Source organism: Homo sapiens, chromosome 8, assembly GCF_000001405.40.
Source record: "Homo sapiens chromosome 8, GRCh38.p14 Primary Assembly".
Classification (NCBI taxonomy): Eukaryota; Metazoa; Chordata; class Mammalia; order Primates; family Hominidae; genus Homo; species Homo sapiens.
In genome coordinates this window covers 120,676,201-120,697,578 of record NC_000008.11, presented here as the reverse complement: position 1 = coordinate 120,697,578, position 21,378 = coordinate 120,676,201, and the positions used below count along the sequence as shown (strand labels likewise).

At 39.4% G+C, this 21,378-nt stretch overlaps 1 protein-coding gene across 4 annotated transcripts in view, besides 1 other annotated feature; it reads left to right on the top strand.

The window, feature by feature from the left end:
- SNTB1 (syntrophin beta 1) overlaps window positions 1-21,378 on the top strand; it is a 276,291-nt gene that overhangs the window by 114,468 nt on the left and 140,445 nt on the right. For all 4 annotated transcript variants that reach the window (NM_021021.4, XM_047422126.1, XM_047422127.1 and 1 more), the window contains exon 2: window positions 3,671-3,887. In NM_021021.4, the coding sequence (NP_066301.1) occupies window positions 3,671-3,887 (217 nt within the window). The remainder of the gene's footprint in view (window positions 1-3,670; window positions 3,888-21,378) is intronic.
- Window positions 11,750-12,297: an enhancer, noted in NCBI's record as "NANOG hESC enhancer chr8:121697522-121698069 (GRCh37/hg19 assembly coordinates)". NCBI's record gives its function as "activates a minimal SCP1, AML or CMV promoter by ChIP-STARR-seq in naive H9 embryonic stem cells {active_cell/tissue: H9 hESC(naive)}" and the evidence as "EXISTENCE:reporter gene assay evidence [ECO:0000049][PMID:30033119]".

Here is a 21,378-nt window from a genome sequence, read left to right as displayed (position 1 = left end):
TGATTCTTCAAGGCCTCTAGAGATTTGTCGAGCTTGAGATTTCCTTAATCCAGTTTTGAGATTTAACATAAGCACTCATATCATTTACATACTTCCCTTTTTCCTGGCTTAAACTTCTAATCATGGACCATTTCTTATTATACCTCATGGACAGCACTGTTCTTAGCACATGAAAATTGACTGATAAGTTTTGACCGAATGAGTGAAATTTTAAAATTATCACACCTACCTTATTTTTTTCTGTCTTTATTTGCAATTGGCCAGTTAAAAGGATTACTATATGCAGAATATTACTCCCAATGGGATATCCCTTCTTCAAGGCAGTGCCATGTCTTCTGTCCTTTGGAAATTCCCCTAGTGCTGTGTCACATAGGAAAGGGTTATTTGGCAAATATTTGTTTCTAGGCTAAGACTTGCTATACTCCCCATGCTTCTTCCCAGGAATGGCTAAAGCCACACATTTCTGGGATTACTCTTCCCTTATGTGGAGATTTAGAGTGTTACTTGGGTTATCTCTGACATTAACCCCTATGGCCCTGGAAATGGTGGATCTACTTCTAATCCTTTCTCTTAAGTACACCCAGTCTCACCTTCCAGGAGTTCTCTCTAAAGCTAACCTTTGATTCTGCCACTCTCTCACTCACAGATCACCACGACTATCACTACTGCCTGTAGAATAAAGCTCAAACCTATTAGCTTGTCATTTGCATCCTTCATCTAGGTGGTATGGCCAGATCTCATGAGAAAATATTATCTCTGGGAAATCAAATTCTAGCTACACCACTTACTAGCCATATAACTTTACATAAGCTAAAATTCTGAGCATCAGTGTGCTGATGTGTACAATAATACTAACCTACAAGGGATCACCTATGTCATGCTGCTAGTGTTCACTTCAATAAGAATAGCCCTACAAGGCATTTCTTTCTAGCAGGTCTGAAAGAGATAGCAATATTTTTCTTGTATAACTCGTGGACACATGGATGCTCGGTAAATAAAAGATACCTTATCCATACCTTCTCTAGACCTTAGTTTCCTTGTATATAAAATGAGACCTTAAATGGTCATTTGAAACTTAATGTGGGTAGATATGTAAAGCACCTGATTCAATACTTGGCACATCATTAAGTATATTGTAAATGTTCTTTCTCTATCCTTCTTCCAAATTGAGACCTGACTTACCTTTTCTATGGAATTGCAATAAAAATTATAAAGCAGAGCATGTTACGTAAAGGAAGGATTATTGTTCTTATCTCTACTTTTTAAAGTCCTAGCTACTCTTTAAGGCCAAGTTCAAATGGCACCTTCCCCATGAAGCATCCCTGGATTCTCACTCCTGCAACACTCATCCCTACTCCACTCAGAAGGATAATAATGCAATCAAATGAAAATCTTCAATTCATCTCAGCTAATACTTGAATTTTCTATATTTCCATGAGTATAATTCTACAATATACAAAGCTAAGCAGTGTACTAGCTTCTACTAAAATGGTTTCACAGATGAAAAAGTTTAGGATCTTCTAAAGAAGTATATTTATTCCAGCCTCGGACAGCTTCAATATGTCCCCCTAAATTTCTGCATTTGTTCATGAGTATGTCTGTGTTCCTCTTTAAATATTTTGCCCAGAAATAAATAATAGTTATTAAAATACACAGTCCATGAATAATATTTCTCCTTCTGTAACTGCAACCTGTGCTAACAGGTTTGGAGCAACCATGGAGCTCTTTTCTTCTAATTGCACTTATATTCAACTAAAACCCTGAAATCTTCCTTGAAAATATGTGTTGGTGTTAAATGACTGCTCCTCTGTCTTGTATTAATATGGCTATTTTTGATATGATTGAGTCCCTCAATAAAGGTCCATATTACATGCATCTGGGTATATTTGAACTGCTAATTAAATTTTTGTGAACCTGAACTGTCTTTCGTGCTCCTAGATCCTTTTTTTAATGGGTTCTTCCAAGGTATTTTATTCCTTTTATAAAACATAGCTCATTCTACTTTGTGCCGTAGTTTGTGTACTTTGTCTTATGTCCTATCTTAGGTGGGTTTCTGAGAAGCAGAGCATCTGTCTGGGGGATTGGGTAGTGACTTTGCAGCCTCCTGAGCTTAGCGGCTTCTGTTGGGCCAAGATTTGTGGGGCAGCTATGAGTTGTTCTCACCCAACACACAGCAACCAGGCTATAGGAAAAGGGTCCCAGATGGGACACCAACAGCATACACTGTAGTCACCCATGATTTTGTAACTCTGAGTTTGGAGTGTATTGTTCATCTCTGTAGTCTCTATAATCCTGTTGATGTCTTGCACAGGGAAGGCACTAGTTGGTGGAACCGATTCATCAAAGATCTGGAGGAAATGCCCCCTAGTTGGCTCTCATTCCAATTCACTGCCATTTGTAATAACAAACACCTGTGAGGGACTTAGCCCAATCTCCTGAGGCAGCAGTGAACCAGAGTATGTGGGTGATAGAGAGAAGAATATGCAAGTTTACATTGCATGTTCCAAGAATCTCGTTGCCCTGTTAACCCAAAAGCTGCCTAAAGACCAAATGCTCAAATTCAGAATAGGCAAAAATACTTCTTGATACCAAGGCAAATATATCAAAGAGCAGAACTTCAGTCTGCTTCACTGGGCTCTTAAGCTATTTTTGTTTTCTTAAGTTATTTTTGTTTTCTTAAGATTTATAAAAGTAATACACACATATGGTTAAACATGAAAATGATATGAAAGAGTAATAAATAAATAGTAAAAGCCTATTTCTTAATCATTATGGCTTTTATTTCCACTTCCCACAGCTAACTAGTGTTAATAATTTCTTATATTTCTACCCAGAAATAATTGTAGGCATATAAGCACATATATTTATGAATTTATATACAAAGATATTATAGTATATGCTTTGCTTTCTCCTTTTATCCCCACTAATAATAGATCTTACAGGTCTTTCCACATCAACACATCTACATCTATATATATAGAGAGAGAGAAAGAGATATATATATAAAGAATTAATGATATATATTAAGAATTAATGATATATATATCATTTTTTAAATGATATAAATGTCTTACAATTTATTTAATCTGTTCCTTTTTAATGGATATTTACATTGTTTCTACTTTTCAGCTCTTACAAATAATTTTTTTTGCTATTACACATTTTTGCCACTACAAAATGTGTTCTTATATATATTTCTTTGTATGTGTTTCCTTGACACTATTAAATTGAAAACCCTATGATTGTTTCTCAACAGAAAAATGGCATCCTGTGTAATGAATGTGGCTGCCATATTCCTTACATCTATATTGAATAACGTATCTTTTAGCCTAAGTTATACTTTCTCACTCTCTGCCCATGTTTTCAGCCTTTTTCCCAGAATGCAAAACTTAAAATCAGAAAGTGCAAAAGTTGTCACAGTTGAAAAAAGCTAGACACAATTCTCAACTGTAGGACATCATAACAGCAAGTTCTAAGATGCACAGAGCTATATAATTTAAATAATAAGATAATTACCTTGAGTGGAACAAAAATTCAAAATCTCGTTGAGAATTTAAGAAGTTCAGTATTAAGAGCTTATCCAAAGCAAGTCTATTTCAGAAACACAATCAGACTTCCCAGAAATTCAGCCGTGATGTATTAAAAGCACTTGTTGTCTTTTTCCTTGCAGTGAAGTACATGCGAGAAGCCACGCCCTATGTGAAGAAAGGATCCCCAGTATCCGAGATTGGGTGGGAAACACCTCCGCCTGAATCCCCTCGGTTAGGGGGCAGCACCTCAGACCCCCCGTCATCGCAGTCCTTCTCCTTCCACAGAGACCGGAAAAGCATCCCCCTCAAAATGTGCTACGTCACTCGGAGTATGGCCTTGGCCGACCCTGAGAACAGGTAAATAGGGTCAAAACTCTCCACTGTATCAAGCAGCTCCTCGGCCTCTCAGGCTAAATGGGGGCTTTCACGAGATTGCCCTCATGTTCTGAAAACACATCATGGCTTCCAAAGAAAAGCATGAAAGGGCCATGCTGAGAATTGTGTGTGTCTGTGTGTGAAAGAGAGAGAGAGACAGAGGAGAGAGAGAATCTATACACTGAGCACTGGTTCTGGAAAGAGTTAAAGAACTGGAATCAGCATCCTAAATGTCTTTAGGGCTCATTACCAGTCCATGTGACTTAGGCCACATTTCTTAAACCGCTTAACCTCAGTTTTGTCATCTCTAAGATGGGAATAATTGAAATAGATGCCTTGTTTGGTTGTGAGAACTAAATTAGGAAATCCATGTGATATAGTTAGGATGTTTGTCCCCTCCAAATCTCATGTTGAAATGTGATCCCCAATGTTGGAGATGGGGGTCCAGTGAGAGGTGTTTGGGTCATGGGGGCAGAACCCTCATGAATGGCTTGGTGCCCGCCCCGAGGCAGTGAGTGAGTTCTTGCTCTATTAGTTCAAGTGAGAGCTGGTTATTTGAAAGAGCATGAAATACCTCCCTGCTCTTTCTTGCTCCCTCTCTTCCCATGTAACTTGTCGGCACCCCCTGCCCCTTCCACCATGAGTGGAATCTCCCTGAAGCCCTCATCAGAAGCAGATGCCAGTGCCATGCTTCCTGTACAACTTGCAGAACCGTGAGCCAAATAAACCTCTTTCCTTAAATTACCTAGCCTCAGGTATTCCTTTAGAGCAACACAAAATAAATCAATGCACCATGTAAGGTGCTCAGTACAGGAAAACCTTCCATGAATATAAGCAATAGTAATATTTCTTATTAATGTTAGATAGTAATAAACAAATTCACCTTACTAGGCCTCAGTGCTGTCAACTGTATACTTGGAGGGTTAGATGAGAGTTGCTTTAAGGCTATTTTCTACTTTAAGCATCTCTTTATGCTCAAGAGAGCAAAAGGAGTGGCTTTGGTCCAAGTCTGGAATGCTGTTTCCCAAAGTCGGTACATGACTTTGCACGCCACAGGCTAGATATATCACCCAACCCATGGCAATTATAAGGAATGCAGCCAAGAGGAAGTAAAATTCAGGGTCCCTCATCCCCCAGAATTCTTACTTTAGTTCAGTAGAAGAGAAAACATATATTTTAGGAGGAAAATAAGAGAAATAAAGAAAGCGAGGGATCGAGCCAGCAAATGGGGAATCTTAGTGACCTTTGCATCCACATTAAAGTGCTAAAAATAGGAACCGCTCGACTGGCCCTTATTTAGAATGTGTGTGGGACAGCTGCAACCCACCCGAATAGAAAGTATTTGGCTAGGCTCAGAGTTGCTCATGGGGAAAAGCCATCGGGAATAGGGGCAGGGAGAAAGTTGCTTCCTTGGCTCCCAGCTCAATGTCTTTTTTGTTCTCATCTCAGTTAGCTCACTCTAAGGACGCTGCCAGGGCCCTTCTGGCTCTGGCCAGCTGCAGGATCTTTCTACCCCGCTCTCCCTACTCCTCCTGTATTAGTTATTTCTGTACAGGGATTGGCCAGTTGTACAAGAAAGCCAGCAAGTATCGGCAAGAGGGGTAAGAGCAGACAGACTGGGAAGGACACAGAGCTCATAGCTGGTCCACTCTCACCCTGTTCTCTGTTTTGTTCCCCACAATTTCTGCAGAGTTCCTGGGCCTGCAGTCGATATCCTGGTTACTCTAAGTCTCCTTTTCCCTGGGCTTTTACCCACCCAATCAAACAAGTCCCATCTCCCAATGATCTGATGTCAAAGTTTTCAGATGTGATGAATTCATGATGTAGTATTGAGTGCCTATCATGTGCATTATGCTAATTAATGTAGACCACAGACTGCAAAGTGGCAGCCTATGGTATACCCAGCCTACAGATATGTTTTTTTTTAAATAGTCTAAGTGTTTAAATAAATTGGAATTAGTTGCCATGTTCAATAACTGAAAAACTTCACATTTAAAAAGCCAGTTTCTGCTTTTCTAGAAAAGTGGGAAGAACTGGTGATGTTATTGGGCCCACATTGTTGCAGGCAGGGCAGTTATATACCAGAGCTCAGTAGAGTTTTCTCCTTTGATAAGGGAATGAACTCTCCTCATCATTTCTATTACCTTCTACTATGGAATACAATTAATTACCTGCCTAATCTTTGAATTTGTAACCCTGCTTAGTCCTCTTAACAGCTCTCTGAGTTTCTTTCATTGTCCCCATTCTACAGACAAAAAATTTAGACAAAAAGTGTTTATGTAAGTTCTCAACATTATATAGCTGTTATATAGTCTAGCTGGGCTTCAAACTCATGCCTATAAAATGGGTGACAGTGTCAGTTAATCATTTCCAGAAAAATCTAAACTGAGACAAAAGCTTACTGAGACATTGTAGGAGCAATTCATACACTAGGGAGAAAATTTGAATAGATGATTTCTTGGGTTTCTTCCAGAAGTAGACTTATATGCTACAACAGCACTCCCAGGTCATTTAATTATATTTTAAAGAATATTTTGGGAGACATCAGACCTTAATTTAGATATTGGAAACTTCAGTCTGTATATCAAGCCAGTAGAGGAGAATAAGTTTCAAACTTTTATATTGGTGCTCGTCAAGTCCACCATTGACGATTATACATAGGGCTTCCCCTGTGGGAGAGGGAGAGCCTGTTCTGCTGTGGTGTGAGAACCAGCAGGGCAGAATCAAACATGAGAATCCAGCTAAGCCAGATGGTTCCGAAGGGACTTCAGGTCCAGACAGGTCCCAAACTGCTTCTAACAAGAAGATTGGGGGCCTAGGTGAGGCTTGCCCATGGTAGAAGAAGAGAAGAAAATAAAAAGGAAACAAATATTTTATGAAACTCCAGGTACAGGCTGAGCAGGGTATGGTGTACCATCAGAAATGTGGAATCTGCAAAACCCAACTCTATGCTGAATGCAAGAGACACATCTAACAGAGTGATTTTAAAAGGTGAAAGATACAAGGATGGGCAAAAGCTTACAAGGTAAATGCAAACTATTAAATAACAACAGAAAGCATTGATTTTGATCTTGATATAAGACAAGGTAAAATGCAGGCTGAAAAATGTCCAAGGTAAAATGTCCATAAAGTAGCACAAGGAAGGACTGATTTATGTTGAAGGCAAGAGTTCACAAGCAACATCCAGTAGTTATGAATACATACCACATAACAAAACAGCAACTTTTATAGCGGAAACTGCAGAAGATGCAAGAAGAAATAGACAGAAACATATTCATATTAGATATTTCAACATATACCACTTTCCATCCAAGTAAGGGCAAGTAGAGGACACAGATAAATACAGTAATCCCCCCTTATTCATAGAAGGAATGTAACAGGACCCCCAATAGATGCCTGAAACCATGGATAGTACTGACTCCTCTATAACTGTGTTTTTCCTATACATACATACTATGATAAAGTTTAATTTATAAAGTAGGCACAGTAAGAGATTAACAACAATACTAATAAAATGGAACAATTATAACAATATACTGTAATAAAAGTTATATGAATATGGTCTCTCTGTCTCTCAAAATATTTTATTGTACTTATTTTGGGCTGCAGTTGACCTCAGATAACTGAAACCATGGAAAGTGGAACCATAAGTAAGGGTCGACTTACTATAATTATATGGAAGACCCAAACAACAAAATAAATAAAGTAGATCTGAATACATTGCGAACTCTTTACTCTGATAATAGAGAATACACTTACTTTTCAAGTCCACAAAGAACACTGACAAAATTAACCACAGATCAGGTCACAAAGAAAATGCAATAAGTTCCATTAGGTACAAATAATACAAACAACAGCCTCTGATGACAGTGGAATAAAACTAGAAAATCAATAACAAAACCAAACCACACAAAGCCTTTTTTTCATGGGTTTTTTAAAGCTCTCTGTAAAATAACTCTTGGGTCAAAAGGGAACTATAAACTGACATTGTTGCATTTCTTCAAAAATAAATAATAATGAAAATAATGCATCCATTAAATATGAAGAGAAGGAATGATAAAGAGAGAGTGTGGAGTGTGCAGTCAGCTAGACCCACAGTGGAATCTTAGTTCTACCCCTTATATGTGAATTTAAGCAAGAATCTCATTTAATTCAAATAACCATCATAGGTAGCGGGAACTCCTCTCTACTTTATAGACAGTGATGCTTAGCTGAGAAATGAGAGTTGAAGCAAACGGTAGATCTCGGATTCAAACCCAAGCCTAGCTGACCCCAAGCCCAATTTCTGAATCATCACACACACTGCCTCTAACTTCAGCACCTAGCAGAGCAGCTCGCCTGAACTATAAGCACCTTGGCCAGGAGTTAATGGTGTCCTGGGAGCTAAAACCTGAGAACCAATGACAAATGCCACAGCATCTTGGGGCTAATCCCCTCAGTTGGTGACACACAGGTGCCTGTAGTCTGCATTAAAAACTCTAATGTTCAATTTCTCAAATACAACAGCCATAGAACAGCAGGCAGGATTGCTGCTCTTTCTGTGAAAAAGGTCACCCAGCAGGCATTGAATCCACAAGAATATGTCAATGCTAGTGGCTGTCAGTAATTACAATATATTTTTATTATTCTACCTCTTAAATATCTCTTGTTTTTCATATTCAGCTCTTTGCCTTCACAGCCACTGCCCTGAGCCAGGCCCACATCCTTAGTCCCTGAGAGTATTTGGGTATGTTTCTTACAGGGTGTTTTGTTGCTGGTTTGCTCTTTCCCCATTTCCCACCGTCTACTCTACACCTAGCTAGCCAAGGGAATCTGAAATTTACTCCTTCTGTCAAAATGGCTCCCTGTCACCTGCACTCATATCTAAACTCCTCAGTATTACATAAAAACCCCTTTAGGCTTTAAATAGTCCGTAATTGTCCAGCTCCTCTTTACCTCATCGTTTCTGTTCCAGCATCCCTTAAATAATTTGTATACTTCCTACAATTGCCTTCCTGACAACTTCCTACTTGCCCTTTAAGCCTCAGGGTAAACAGTCTTCTCAGATATCAATGTCTTGTTATACCTTCTGTGTCAAATAATTCATTATAGCATGCTTCATAATAACTTGTGATTTTTTTCTTACATGCCTACTCAGTTCCTAAGTCATAAGGTTTTTGAGCTCTGAGACACTCCATATTTTTATTTTATTACCCCAGATATCTAGAACTTTGGCATTCAAAACTATTTTCGTTCATAAATGATAAATAGTATATTTATCTGCTCGCTTTTCATATTCTTCTCTAAAAATGTCTTTTGAAAAAATATTCCACTAAATAGTCTTGGGAATAAGGGAATAAATAAAAGCATAGTTCTCTTCTGACAGACATAGGAAGCTTAAAGAAACCAGGACAATCCATTAACCAAGTGTGTCACTGGATCGTGAGCAGCTGTGCTACAATGGGTAGTTTATGAGGCTTTAAGTCATGACCCTGTACTGCTACGTAACAGAGTCCACTGTAGATTTTCATGGTTAAATTATGGAAAGATTTACATCATCTTTCTTGGGAAACAGTGTACATCTCTATTAATGGTGCACAAATGAAACATTCACAGAAAGTGCTGTCTTGGTTTCTAATGGAAAACCTGTGCTAGGCTGCACTGTGATTCAGAGAGGTGCCATCTGTTAAGTCCTGTAAGATGCCTGGATATGTTGCTACAAGGTACCCTTAGTGATGTCACCACAATCCAGTGCTTGAGTTTCAGCCACAGAAGATCAGAAACTTGATTTAGTGGGCATAGTGTTAGCAGATCCATCTCTAAGGGGTTGACTCACATTAACCAAATAGGCAAAATTTGTTTATGATGAGCAACACAGTTGTCAAGTAGATGGAAATGCCCACGTGGGAGGATTTATATACCCTCTCATTGTGAGCAGGCTGTATTGGAAGACAAATGTGAATATGAGCAGAATGCCAGAACACTAAGTATTAATAACCCAAAACAATGTGGACTTTCAAAGAATAGTGATGCACTCTTTCTGAGTAGATAAGCTACACAAGAAATTAAATTGTCATGAAAGTGATTTGGTGAGTGTGGAATCAATAGAAGGTGTGCTAATAGACCTTAGGAAATATGTTTTAGGCAAGTAAGCTGAAAACCCTCCTTTCCAGGATGGGGAGAGCCTTGCCGAGGTAACCCTTATGTAAATTTCTGCTTTGCCAACACTCCCACTCCTTTGAGCTGTACATAAATAGCCTGAGGTTTCCCATGTGGCCCTTCCCTGCCCTTTGATGGCTAATTTATCCTCTTCAGTTAACATGGTTCTTTCTTCCTGTGAGTACGAAACAGTGGATTTGGGTTTTGCTTATCAAATTTAATCACTTTTCATTCTAGGCTCCTTGAAGTTGTTCTCATAGTACCCTGTTTTGAGTTTTAGATGTTTCCAAATACTTTAGTTACACATTCATAGACAGATGGTCTTTGGTGGCTACAAACAAGGGAGGAATCATTTTACCAGTTCAGCCTTTCTCCTCTTTTTCCCAGTGTTTGGGGGTACATTATTGCCCCCTCATGTTTTATATAGAACTCTCAAATTTATTAAACTTTGAATACTATTGAAACATTTCCTCCTTTAGTGCATCGAGAATGAAGATTTATGAGGTACTTTTTCCTGTCTTTTCTCCTCTGTAAGTCTTTGTTTGTGAAAAGTACATCTCTTTTTAAGAAGCCCACAAAATATGTATTTTCTGAATGTAGTTTCTTCATTCTTTGTTGGGCACGTCATGGTGGCTTCATAATGGAAACTATTGCCAGAATTCATGATTGTCATTAAATTTTGGAAACAGAAAAAAATATATATAAAGTATATGTATATGGTGCTGTAATAAGTGGGCATGTTTTACATATGTAAAAACAGGTCCAGATTAACTGCATGCTTGTATCAGTGAATAAAACTCTAGAGTTGCAGTTATTCTGGAAAATATGGGTTTAAATCCCAAGTCTGTTACTTATTCCCTTTAACTTTAAGTAAATTATCCAATCTCTCTGATTTTCAGGTTCCTTCTTTGCTATAGTCTTAATGTTTGTGTCCCCCCACCCCCCAAATTCACATATTGAAACCTAATCTTTAACGTAATAATGTTAAGAGATGAGACCTTTGGGAGGCAGTTAGGTCATGAGGTTAATACTTCATGAATGGGATTAGTGCCCTTTTATAAAAGAGGCTCAAGGGAGCCTGTTTTCCCCTTAGACCATGCAAGGACATATAGTAGGTACCAGCCATGAGGAACACACCTTCACCAGACATCAAATCTGTGGTGCCTTAATCTTGGACTGTCCAGTCTCCAGAATTGTGAGAAAAAAATTTATATTGTTTGTAAACTACCCAATCTAAGATATTTTTTATAGCAGCCTGAATAGACTAAGAAATTGATACAGAATTGGGGTGTTGCTATAGCAAATACCTAAAAATGTAGAAGTGGTTTTGGAACTGGGTAATGGGTAGAGGCTGGAAGAATTTTGAGGTACAATGCTGTGAAAGGAGATTTAAGGAGAATTCTGGTGAGGTCTCAGAAGAGGAGAGCTGTAGAGAAAGCCTCAGTCTTCTTCGAAATTATCTTATGTGGCCATGGTCAGAATATTGGTATAAATATGGTGGTAAAGGCAGTTCTGATTAGGTCTCAGATGGAAATGTGGAACATGGTATTGGACAATGGAGGAAAGGCCATCCTCATTATAAAGTGGCAAAGAACTTTGCTAAATTGTGTTCATGTCCTAGAGTTTTGTGGAGGGTGGAACTTATGAACAATAAAATAGAATATTTGACGGAAGAAATATCTAAGCAAAGTGTTGAGGGTGTGGCATGGCTTCTCCTGACTGCTTACAGTAAAAGGCAAGAAGAAAGAAATGATTAAAAATGGAATGTATAATCAAAAGAGATGCAACACTTAAAGATCTGGAAAATTCCCAGCCTGTTGTAAATAATGAAAAAAATGTGTTCTGGAGAGAATACAAAGAGTGTAACCTTTGATAAAGAGATTAGGATGAGTAGGTGAAATCCCAATGCTATTTATTCATCAAGACAATGGAAGAATGACCCTGAAGGCATTTGGAGATTTAAGGCTGCCAGGGCCTTGGGAACAGAACAATTTAATGACTCTGCTCTGTGCCTTGTGTTATGTTGATCCTTGGCTGCCCCAGTTGTGGCTCAAGTGGCCCCAGGCATGGCTTAGGCTGCCCTCTGGAAGGCACAGGTAGTAAAACTTGGCAGTATCTGCAAGGTGCCACTACACCAATACACAGGGTGCACAAGCAGTGAGGACATGGCTATCTCCACCTAGATTTCAAAGGACGCCGTGTGGGGCCTTGGGGCCCAGAAAGAGAACAGAGGTGGGACCACCAAAGAGAACCCCCACTAGGGCAATGTCCACTAGGGCTGTGAGGCCAGCATCATCACAGAGAGCCCCCACTAAGGCAGTGCCTAGCAGAGCCATAAGGGCAGAGCCACCTCAGGGACAAGACCTCCCACCAGTAGAGCCATCAGTGTGCAACTCCTGCCTGGGAGAGTTGCAGGCATGCAACTTCAACCCATAAGAACTGCCACATTGGCTGTGCCCATCAAAGCCATGAAGAGCAGGGCTACCTGGAGCCTGGGGAGCCCAACCCCCATCCCAGTGTGTCTGGAAGGTGGGACTTTGAGTCAAAGAAAATTATTCTGGAGAATTAAGATTCAATTTTTGCTGGGCATGGTGGCTCACACCTGTAATCCCAGCACTTTGGGATGCCAAGGCGGGTGGAGTAACTGAGGTCAGGAGTTCAAGACCAGCCTGGCCAACGTGGTGAAACTCCATCTCTACTAAAAATACAAAAAATTAGCTGGGTGTGGTGGCAGATGCCTGTAATCCCAGCTACTCGGGAGGCTGAGGCAGGAGAATTGCTTGAACCCAGGAGGCAGAGGTTGCAGTGAGCCGAGATCATGCCATTGCACTCCAGCCTGGGCAACAGAATGAGACTCAGTCTCAAAAAAAAAAAAAAAAATTCAATTTTTGCCCTGTTGGGTATAGATTTGGTCAAGACCTGTTATTCCTTTCTTTCTTCCTATTTTTCCCTTTCTCTCCTATTCTGTGCCTGTCCCACCATTGCATTTTGAAATGCATAACTTGTCTGATTTCACAGGCCTACATCTGGAGGGAAATTTGCTTCAAGATGAAGCATATCTTTGAGTCTCACTTACATGTGATTTAGACGACATTTAGAGAGACTTCAGATTTTAGACTTTTGAGTTGATGCTGGAATGAGTTAAGAATTTTGGGGGCTATTGTGATGGAATGAATGTATTTTGCATGTGAGAAAGACATGAATTTGGGCATGCTAGGGACAGAATGTTACGGTCTGAATGTTTGTGTCTCCCCAAAATTCATATGTTGAAAACTCCTCTCCATTGTAATAGTATTAAGAGATGGGGCCTGTGGAAGATGATTAGGTCATAAGGGCTCCATCCTCATGAACAGGATTAGTGCCTTTATAAAAGAGCCCAAGGGTGCCTATGTGCCCCTCCTGCTACATAAGGACACATAATAGGCACTGTGAGGCTCTAACCAGACACCAAATCTGCTAGTGTCTTGATCTTGGACTTTCCAGTCCCCAGAACTGTGATCAATAAATGTATGTTGTTTATAAGTTTCCCAGTCAGAAGTATTTTGTTATAGCAGACTAAGACATTACCTAACAGACTAAGACATTATCTATAAAATGTGGCCAATAATATAATCATGTTTGATTATTATGATTAGATGACTTAATGTTGGCATCCTCTAATTGGTGGCAGGATAACTATGGGGTAAATGTAGCTTTCAGTCAAAATATCCTCATTGCTGGGTGCAAGAAAAGGGGACTTTTTTTTCTCTCTGTACTCAGAGTCCAGGAGAGAGAACTGGAAGGTCAAGCTGTCAAGCAGAGATTATTTTGTAAGACATTCTTTCACAGACATTTTTAAGCCCTTTGAGATTTCTGGCTTTTTGTAGGGACCTCAGTTCCATTTTCCCAACTCATGGGTTCTCAATACCTTAACTATCTTTTATTTGTCAAATTCCAAGTCCTCAACTCACCCACCACTACCTGACCCACTGCAGTCACCACACCACCCTACCCACTTTCCCAGGGATGCTTTATGATTAGCTTAAATACTCACCATTCTGATTTGTAATGCCGCCCCCACCCCCTTTTTTTGACACCTGGGAGTTTCCTTTTCTTTCTTGTAAGATCAGCATTACACAAACAAGCACATTTTTCTTATTATACTTTATCTAGAAAACCCAGGTGTCAGTGGCAGAAGCATTCCTGAATTTATGTAGATCATTGTTTTGCTGGAACTGGAAACCTCCTGAAACACAGCAGTGGAATTGCTTGTAATCGGCTGTGTATATCATCAACAAAAGTCAATATTCTATTTTTTCAAGTGTAATTTAACATAAGAAGTTAAACATTTACCATTCAATTTAAAACTAAAAACAGGCCGGGTGCGGTGGCTCACGCCTGTAATCCCAGCACTTTGGGAGGCCGAGGTGGGTGGATCACGAGGTCAGGAGATTGAGACCATCCTGGCTAACGCAGTGAAACCCCGTCTCTACTAAAAATACAAAAAATTAGCCAGGCGCAGTGGCGGGCGCCTGTAGTCCCAGCTACTCGGGAGGCTGAGGCAGGAGAATGGCGTGAACCCAGGAGGCGGAGGTTGCAGTGAGCCGAGATAGCGCCACTGCAGTCTGGCCTGGGCGAAAGAGCGAGTCCCCATCTCAAAAAAAAAAAAAAAAAAACTAAAAACAAACAAAAAACTATGAGTATTATCTTTTGGATAATTTACCTCCTTCATTTGAAATTATGGACTGCCCTCTACCACCAGAACCACCATTTTGGTCATGCTTTTTCAGCTATCTATGTATCTACCTATTTGTCTATCTATCTATCTATCGTCTATCTACCTACGTACCCACCCACCTACATACATGTCAGTATTTGCTTCTCACTTAGGCAACCCATGTGAAATACTTTGTTATGGTAGAAAGGGTATACATACAAAAAGAGGTGATGTTAGCCTTAGATTCAACAGTGTGGGCACTCTGCATTTGAGAAATTTAGGAAGTAGAATACATACTGACATTTCAGCAATCGTTTTAATGGTGGTTGGGAAGGAGAAGTTCAGAGAGGTTGGGTTGAATTAGTCAGAAATTTGAAATAGGAAACAAGTACTAAATGGTTGTATTATTTTTAAGCATATATAGTGAATGAGACTAAGTAAAGAAGTACTGCCTGGTGGCACTCATAACAGACCTAACAAAATAGATCTCATACAGTCCCTTTTTAAAATTATTTTAAGTGAAATTTTAAATGTTATCAAAATGATAAGACAGATAATTTAAAACTCAAATAGATCTAAAAGATTTATTTTTTAAAGCAATGGGAATTTATTAATCTTATAATGTCTTCCTCTCTTTTTTTGTTATCTCTCTTCACATGTCTTGTTAGAAGGATGTTGAGGCTTCTAGATTGATGTTGTAAGGTTTTTTTCTCTATTGCTTACATTACCTTTTTTTTTACTTTATTTTTTAATCCTTCTCATGAATATATTTTGTTCACCTTTTACCTGTCATATTTTAGCTTTTTGTTTTCTGAATTTTTTTATAGAATTTTGTTCTTTTTTGGATGTCATATTTTCCGTTAATTCTTGGAGAATATTCTCTCTTTTTACTTTTCTTTGTGTTCTTTTTTCCTCCATTTACTGTTTTCTGTTTGTTTGTTTGTTTGTTTGTTTTTATCTTCATCTTCTTTACTGGAGGTTTTCTCAAATGTCTGGTGATCCATTGCTATCTGTTCATTTCTTGCACTGAGTAAAACATGTTGGAACCTATGTGGGGAGTGGGGAGGGGGATGTCAACTGGTGAGAATTCACATAGAGTTATTGCTTGGTGAACCAAGCCTTACCAAGAGATCCTTCCCAATTCTGCAAATATCAGTGTTTAGAAGCTTTACCTGGGTCTGTGCAGTTACTTATGGGAGAATCATTCTGTCTTTTTGAGTGTGGATTGGGGGTAGATAGTGGGAGAATACCCACTTTCCACTGTTCTGAGAGTCCCAACACTCAGCATACAGACTTCATTTAGGGCCCTCTTTTCAGGGCCATATCACCCCCTACCCTGTCTCTGGAGGTTCTGAGCCCATGCAGGTTGTGCAGAGCCAAGGGACTCACATCTGGATGGAATTCTCTTTGTGGCCCTTTAGGTTATAGCATTTTATACTCTTCCTCCACTCTGCAGAGTCAGTAACCCAGCTCCATCGCTGTCTGTCCTCCAAACATGTTGTGCCTGTCTTGTTCTCCTGTGAGTTTAGACCTCCTTTACTGTCTTTTTACTGGATCTTACAAAAGGCAGGAGATCAACATGAATAGCCAAACCACCGTTTTTCCCGAAGAGAATCCTTGCATAATTTGCATATTGGTATATAACAGAGTACACAAAAGATTCATTTTAATGAGCTTAAAAAATATTTTTCTAGTCTTGTTATTTTTAAGAAAATTTGTTTTCTTCCTAGATAAACTTCAGCATTCATCCTAATTATCATACATTTTTAATCAGTGTGAATGAATTAATGAGGTTTCACTGGCAGTGGTAAGCTAGTTAAAAAATGAATTTAAGTACCTCCAGTTTACCTTAAGAAAGAGTTGAGGAGAGGGTTCACCAAGCATGGTTCTATGACTTCATCAATACAGAGCTCTTTATGAGTTCATTTTAGCCCATGTCCGTACCTGTCAGCACCATTCCTGGAAAATTTTAGTTTCCAAAGTGCACTCTGAGAGGTTAAACTTGACCATCTGGGTGCTGAAGGATTTTTGCTAATCTTGACTCACTATATAGGTCTTGATCCTTTGTTCTTGATACATTAATTGAACTCTATTTTGTTTGCAAAAAGCTGCCCAAGGATTTTCAAGCAGAGATAATGATGCCTCTGAAAATAACTCCAATGCTATCATGCAGGCATCCTCTATTCAAGCAGGCATCACCTAGCCTGGAGATTCTACAGTGGAAATGGGGGCATCACAAAGACACCCCTGCTCTTTCTTCTTTTGACACATGTGAAATTTGGATTTCCTTAGTGGAGAATGAGTTTGGGACACAGCACTGCAGATACACTTAAAACAAGACCTGTGTGGACATATAAGGTGTGTATCTATTGGCTGATACTCCCTTTGATCCTAAACAATACTGTAACAGGAATTTTGACATTGCTAGTGTGTTGAACTAGCAATTGAGATATTGCTCCCTTTCTTAAATTTCAACTTTTCAATAGATAGTTTCAGTCGTCTTGGTTCTTTGCTGGATGTTGAGGCTGCATCAATCAATGACAGAGTCCTTGCCCTGACATAGCTTCCCATTAGGTAGGGAATATCTACAAGTAAGTTGGTAATTAAGCAAACAATATCATAGAAAGACAATGAGGAAAGTACAGGATGCTATGGAGTCTTCCTCGCAGGAAGGACACTGCATCCAAAGTTCTGTTTTTAAAGCAGGCTGGGTGTTGTCAACAGGGAGTGATGTCTATGCTTAGACTTGAATAATAAAGTAAGTGTTAGCCAGGTCAAAGGTTGAGATAGGAAGACAGGGAGGGTATTCTCAGCAAAGGAACTAGTGTAAGTACAGACACTAAGGCAAGAAAAAATATAGTTCTATAGTTCCTTGAAGAATGGGAGGTTTAGTTTGTTTGGAGCAATTCATAAGAAGAATGTGTCTATACCTACTGTGTACCCACAAACATTAAAATTCAAAAGAAAGCAAAAAAAAAAATATCTCAAGAGATGAGTCTGGAGAAGTCATCATGATGAGAGCTAAGCCACTTTATAACTTGAACTTTTTTCTAGGAGGGGTCTGAAGCCATGGAGTGATGTAGCAAAGATCTCTCTGGCTGCATAGATCAATAGGAGGCAAGACTAGAGGCTGGGAGACTAGCTAGGATGCTGTTGCAGAAATTTAGGTGAGAACTAATCCTGGCTTCTTTTATAAGGTTAGGGCAGTGATTCTGAAGAATAGTTAGATACATTTGAAAGACTTAAACAGATAGAATTGGCAGGAGTTGGTGATGAAATGGGCTTGGAGGGATGAGGAAAAAGAAGTATTCCGGAATTAATTTTGCTCAGAGCCATAGTCGGCCACACACTTGGCCACTATTAGTTAGCTTACTGCACTGGTCCTGAGTCAATGGGACTCAGGTCAGGTATGTCTTGATGGAGGGCAGAGGTAGGTGGAGGAAAGGTTTAGGCTTTTGGAGATATTGCCTAAATTGAGACTTAGAGTACGACTGCATTTTGAGAGTTTTGTGTTCCTTACTGGATTTCCAAGCTTGTTAAGGACAGCAGCATGTATGGTTTTTCTTTTGTATTTGCCAATTTTTAGAATGGTATATAGAAATCACTCACTAAACACAGAAGGATAAATGAGTGGTATCAGTCAGGAGACAGGTGTCATCCCTGAAATGTCAGCTAAAGAGCATAATGCAGGAACTATAGACAGAGGAAGGGGCTGTCTCGGGAACCAACAAGTGGTGGGGAAGCACCCAGGACCTAGCACCCAGTGGGAAGCTCTTACCCACCCTTGGGTCTGAGGAGCAAAAAGAGCAAGTTACTACCACCTGGAGAGGACTATAGCCCTGGGAGGGGAACAGTGGCCCAGCTGGGGTTGGAGGTAGGTCAGTACCCCAACCTTTTTCTTCCGCCATGGAATCCCCTTTGGGGCTTCTGGTTGGCCATGCATAATTGGAAGCCAGAGGTGAGGGAGGAGCCTGAGTGATGCCATTTAGCCCATAGAGGTTGACCTCTTGGAGCACAGAGCAAGGCAAAGAGTGGCAAATAATGAATCTGGAGGCAAAAAAAAAAAGTCACAAAATTGTATTTACATTCTGCCTCTTTGAAAATAGGTCTGATATGTATAATACAAGTGATAACTAGTTATAAGAAAATGTGGTTAATCCACATACTTCATTTCCTGACCCTGTTGGAGAAAAATGTCTTGGGCAGCCCCAAATCAGTATTTATAGCTTCCTGTTTAATAAAAGTTGTTTAATAAAAGAGTTTTGATAAAGATTTCTTTTAGCCACTGTGATATGAGCTGGATAGGGAAGTGACAATTGAGAGGCTCAGAGGAAGACAGAGTTGGTTTTGGTCAAGCTGGAAGTTGCAAAAGAGCCATGTATCAGGGAGAGAACAGGGCAGCTTAGCTCTGAAATAGGGTTGGACATTCGTTTTTTACTCTTCTCAGAAAGTGGCCAAGGTCTACAGGGACCATATTCTTCCATTATGACAAAACTGGAGACTAGAGAAGGCACCAGTAAGAATGTTGTCACAATGCCAAGCTGGTTTTAATAGTGACATATCCATAAAAAGGCAGCAGAGAGACAGACGGGATATAAGGAGAGGAAGGGGGCACATTTGAGCAGTAACTGTTCTCAGTGGAAGTCAAAACTCTAGGCTGCAAAAATGTTTTTTAACATTAATTTACTTTCATTTAAAATGCCAAATCACTTACCCTTTATGCGCACACTTTCACTTATAATGTGGTGTTTTTTTCACCCTAGAATAAAACCCTCTCCCAGATCTCTGTTATGAAACACACAATAAAGGCCAAGCAGTGCAATTTCTTTTCACTGCCTGTATTATTAAACATTCAGACAATCGGAAAATGTTTCTTCATGTTACCTGGAAACCAAACCCTAGATCCAGAAGTTAGAATTCTTGGAGCTATTTTCTCAAGCACTCCATCAATATTTTTTACCAAATCCGTTGTGCAGCCTTGAAAAGATAATTGACTTTCAGACCAGGCCAACCTGGATTTCATTACCATCTTTTCTACTTATTATCTGGGTGACTTTTGGCAATTTACTTAACTTCTTTGAATTTTTTGAATATATGAAATGAGGATGATAGTATCTCTATGAATATACTATTTTTAGAATTAAATAAGTTGACATCTGCCTAATGCCTGGGACATACTAGACACTTAGCAAATGTAAAATCCTCCAATCTCCCACTTAAAAAAAAAATCCAGCCCTACTAAGATTATCAAAGGATTCTTTCAGTATCATGAAGATGTGTTAAGAATTTTTTAGAGGGTTTTATTAAGTCCTGGGAAAGTCGTATTTTCAGTTGAAAAGTATAAAACAGCCGTTTGGGTAAACGAAAACCACATCATGATTTTATATACTTCTGTCTAATCCTGCATCTGTAGTAGCTGACAGTTTGAAGAACTAGGTCAGTTTGCAAATAGCATCCTTAGATTAATTTCTCCAGAAAACACAGAGACAGGCCTTGAATCACTAAGAAAGTGTAGAAGCTTTCCAAGGCCATGTATGGCTTTATAGAAATATTCCAATAAATTTATATGGCACAGTTCTCTGGCCTGCTGTCAGATATGTAGAAAAGAAGAGTGACAAATAAAACAAGGTGCATGAGCCAGAGTGGAAATTTGGACCAAAATATTTCTGTGGATACCAGAGCAATCCCAAGGTTCTGTTGACTTCCATATGCATCAGGTTTCCAGCCTTTACAAATCTATTATTATCTCTGTGTATAAAGTTTTTTTTTTTTTTTTGAGATAGGGTCTCACTCTGTCACCCAGACTGGAGTGCAGTGGCATGATCATAGCTCACTGCAACCTTGACCTCCTGGGCTCCAGCGATTCTCCCACTTCAGCCTCCTGAGTAGCTGGGACTGCAGGTGCACAAAACCCACCATGCCCAGCTAATTTTTGAAATTATTTGTAGTAGAGACAGGGTCTCACTATGTTGCCCAGGCTGCTCTTGAACTCCTGGCCTCAGGCAATTCTCCTACCTCAGCCTCCCAAAATGCTGATATTACAGATGTGAGCCACCATGCCCAGCTGTTTAGTTTTAATTGTGCCACCAGCAATTTAGAACATGTACCTTGGTCATTTTTTTCCTAGTTATCCAGCTATTTCTGTTGTGCTCTGTCCACCTTTTCTTTTGGAATCCTTCATAGGGTGAGAAGTACACCATTTTGAGCTTTTTTCAGCTGTGGAAGAGAAAACTAACTGCTATATACCAGCATTTAGCTAAATGAACTAATGAAAACTTCATTAAAAACCAATGCTCATAGCAGCTGAGAACTAATGAATTGCTGCTCTCATAGCAGTCTGCAAGTTGTAGTGGAAAGAGCATGTGGCTTTGTAATCAGATGGACCTAGGTTTGAATCCTGTCTCTTTGTGATCTCGAATACTTTACCTCTCTATGCCCCAGTTATTCCATATGTAAAATGGGCATAATAAGATCTACTTTTCAGAATTGCCAGTTTACATGCCTCTCAAGTGCATAACTTCTTGAATAAGATGAGTTTTACCAGGGAATATATAAAGCACTGAATGAAAAGGTATACCTTCTAGGAACATGAATTTTACTCTGAATTTTGGAAGGATAGAATTTATTGTAGAGTTCATT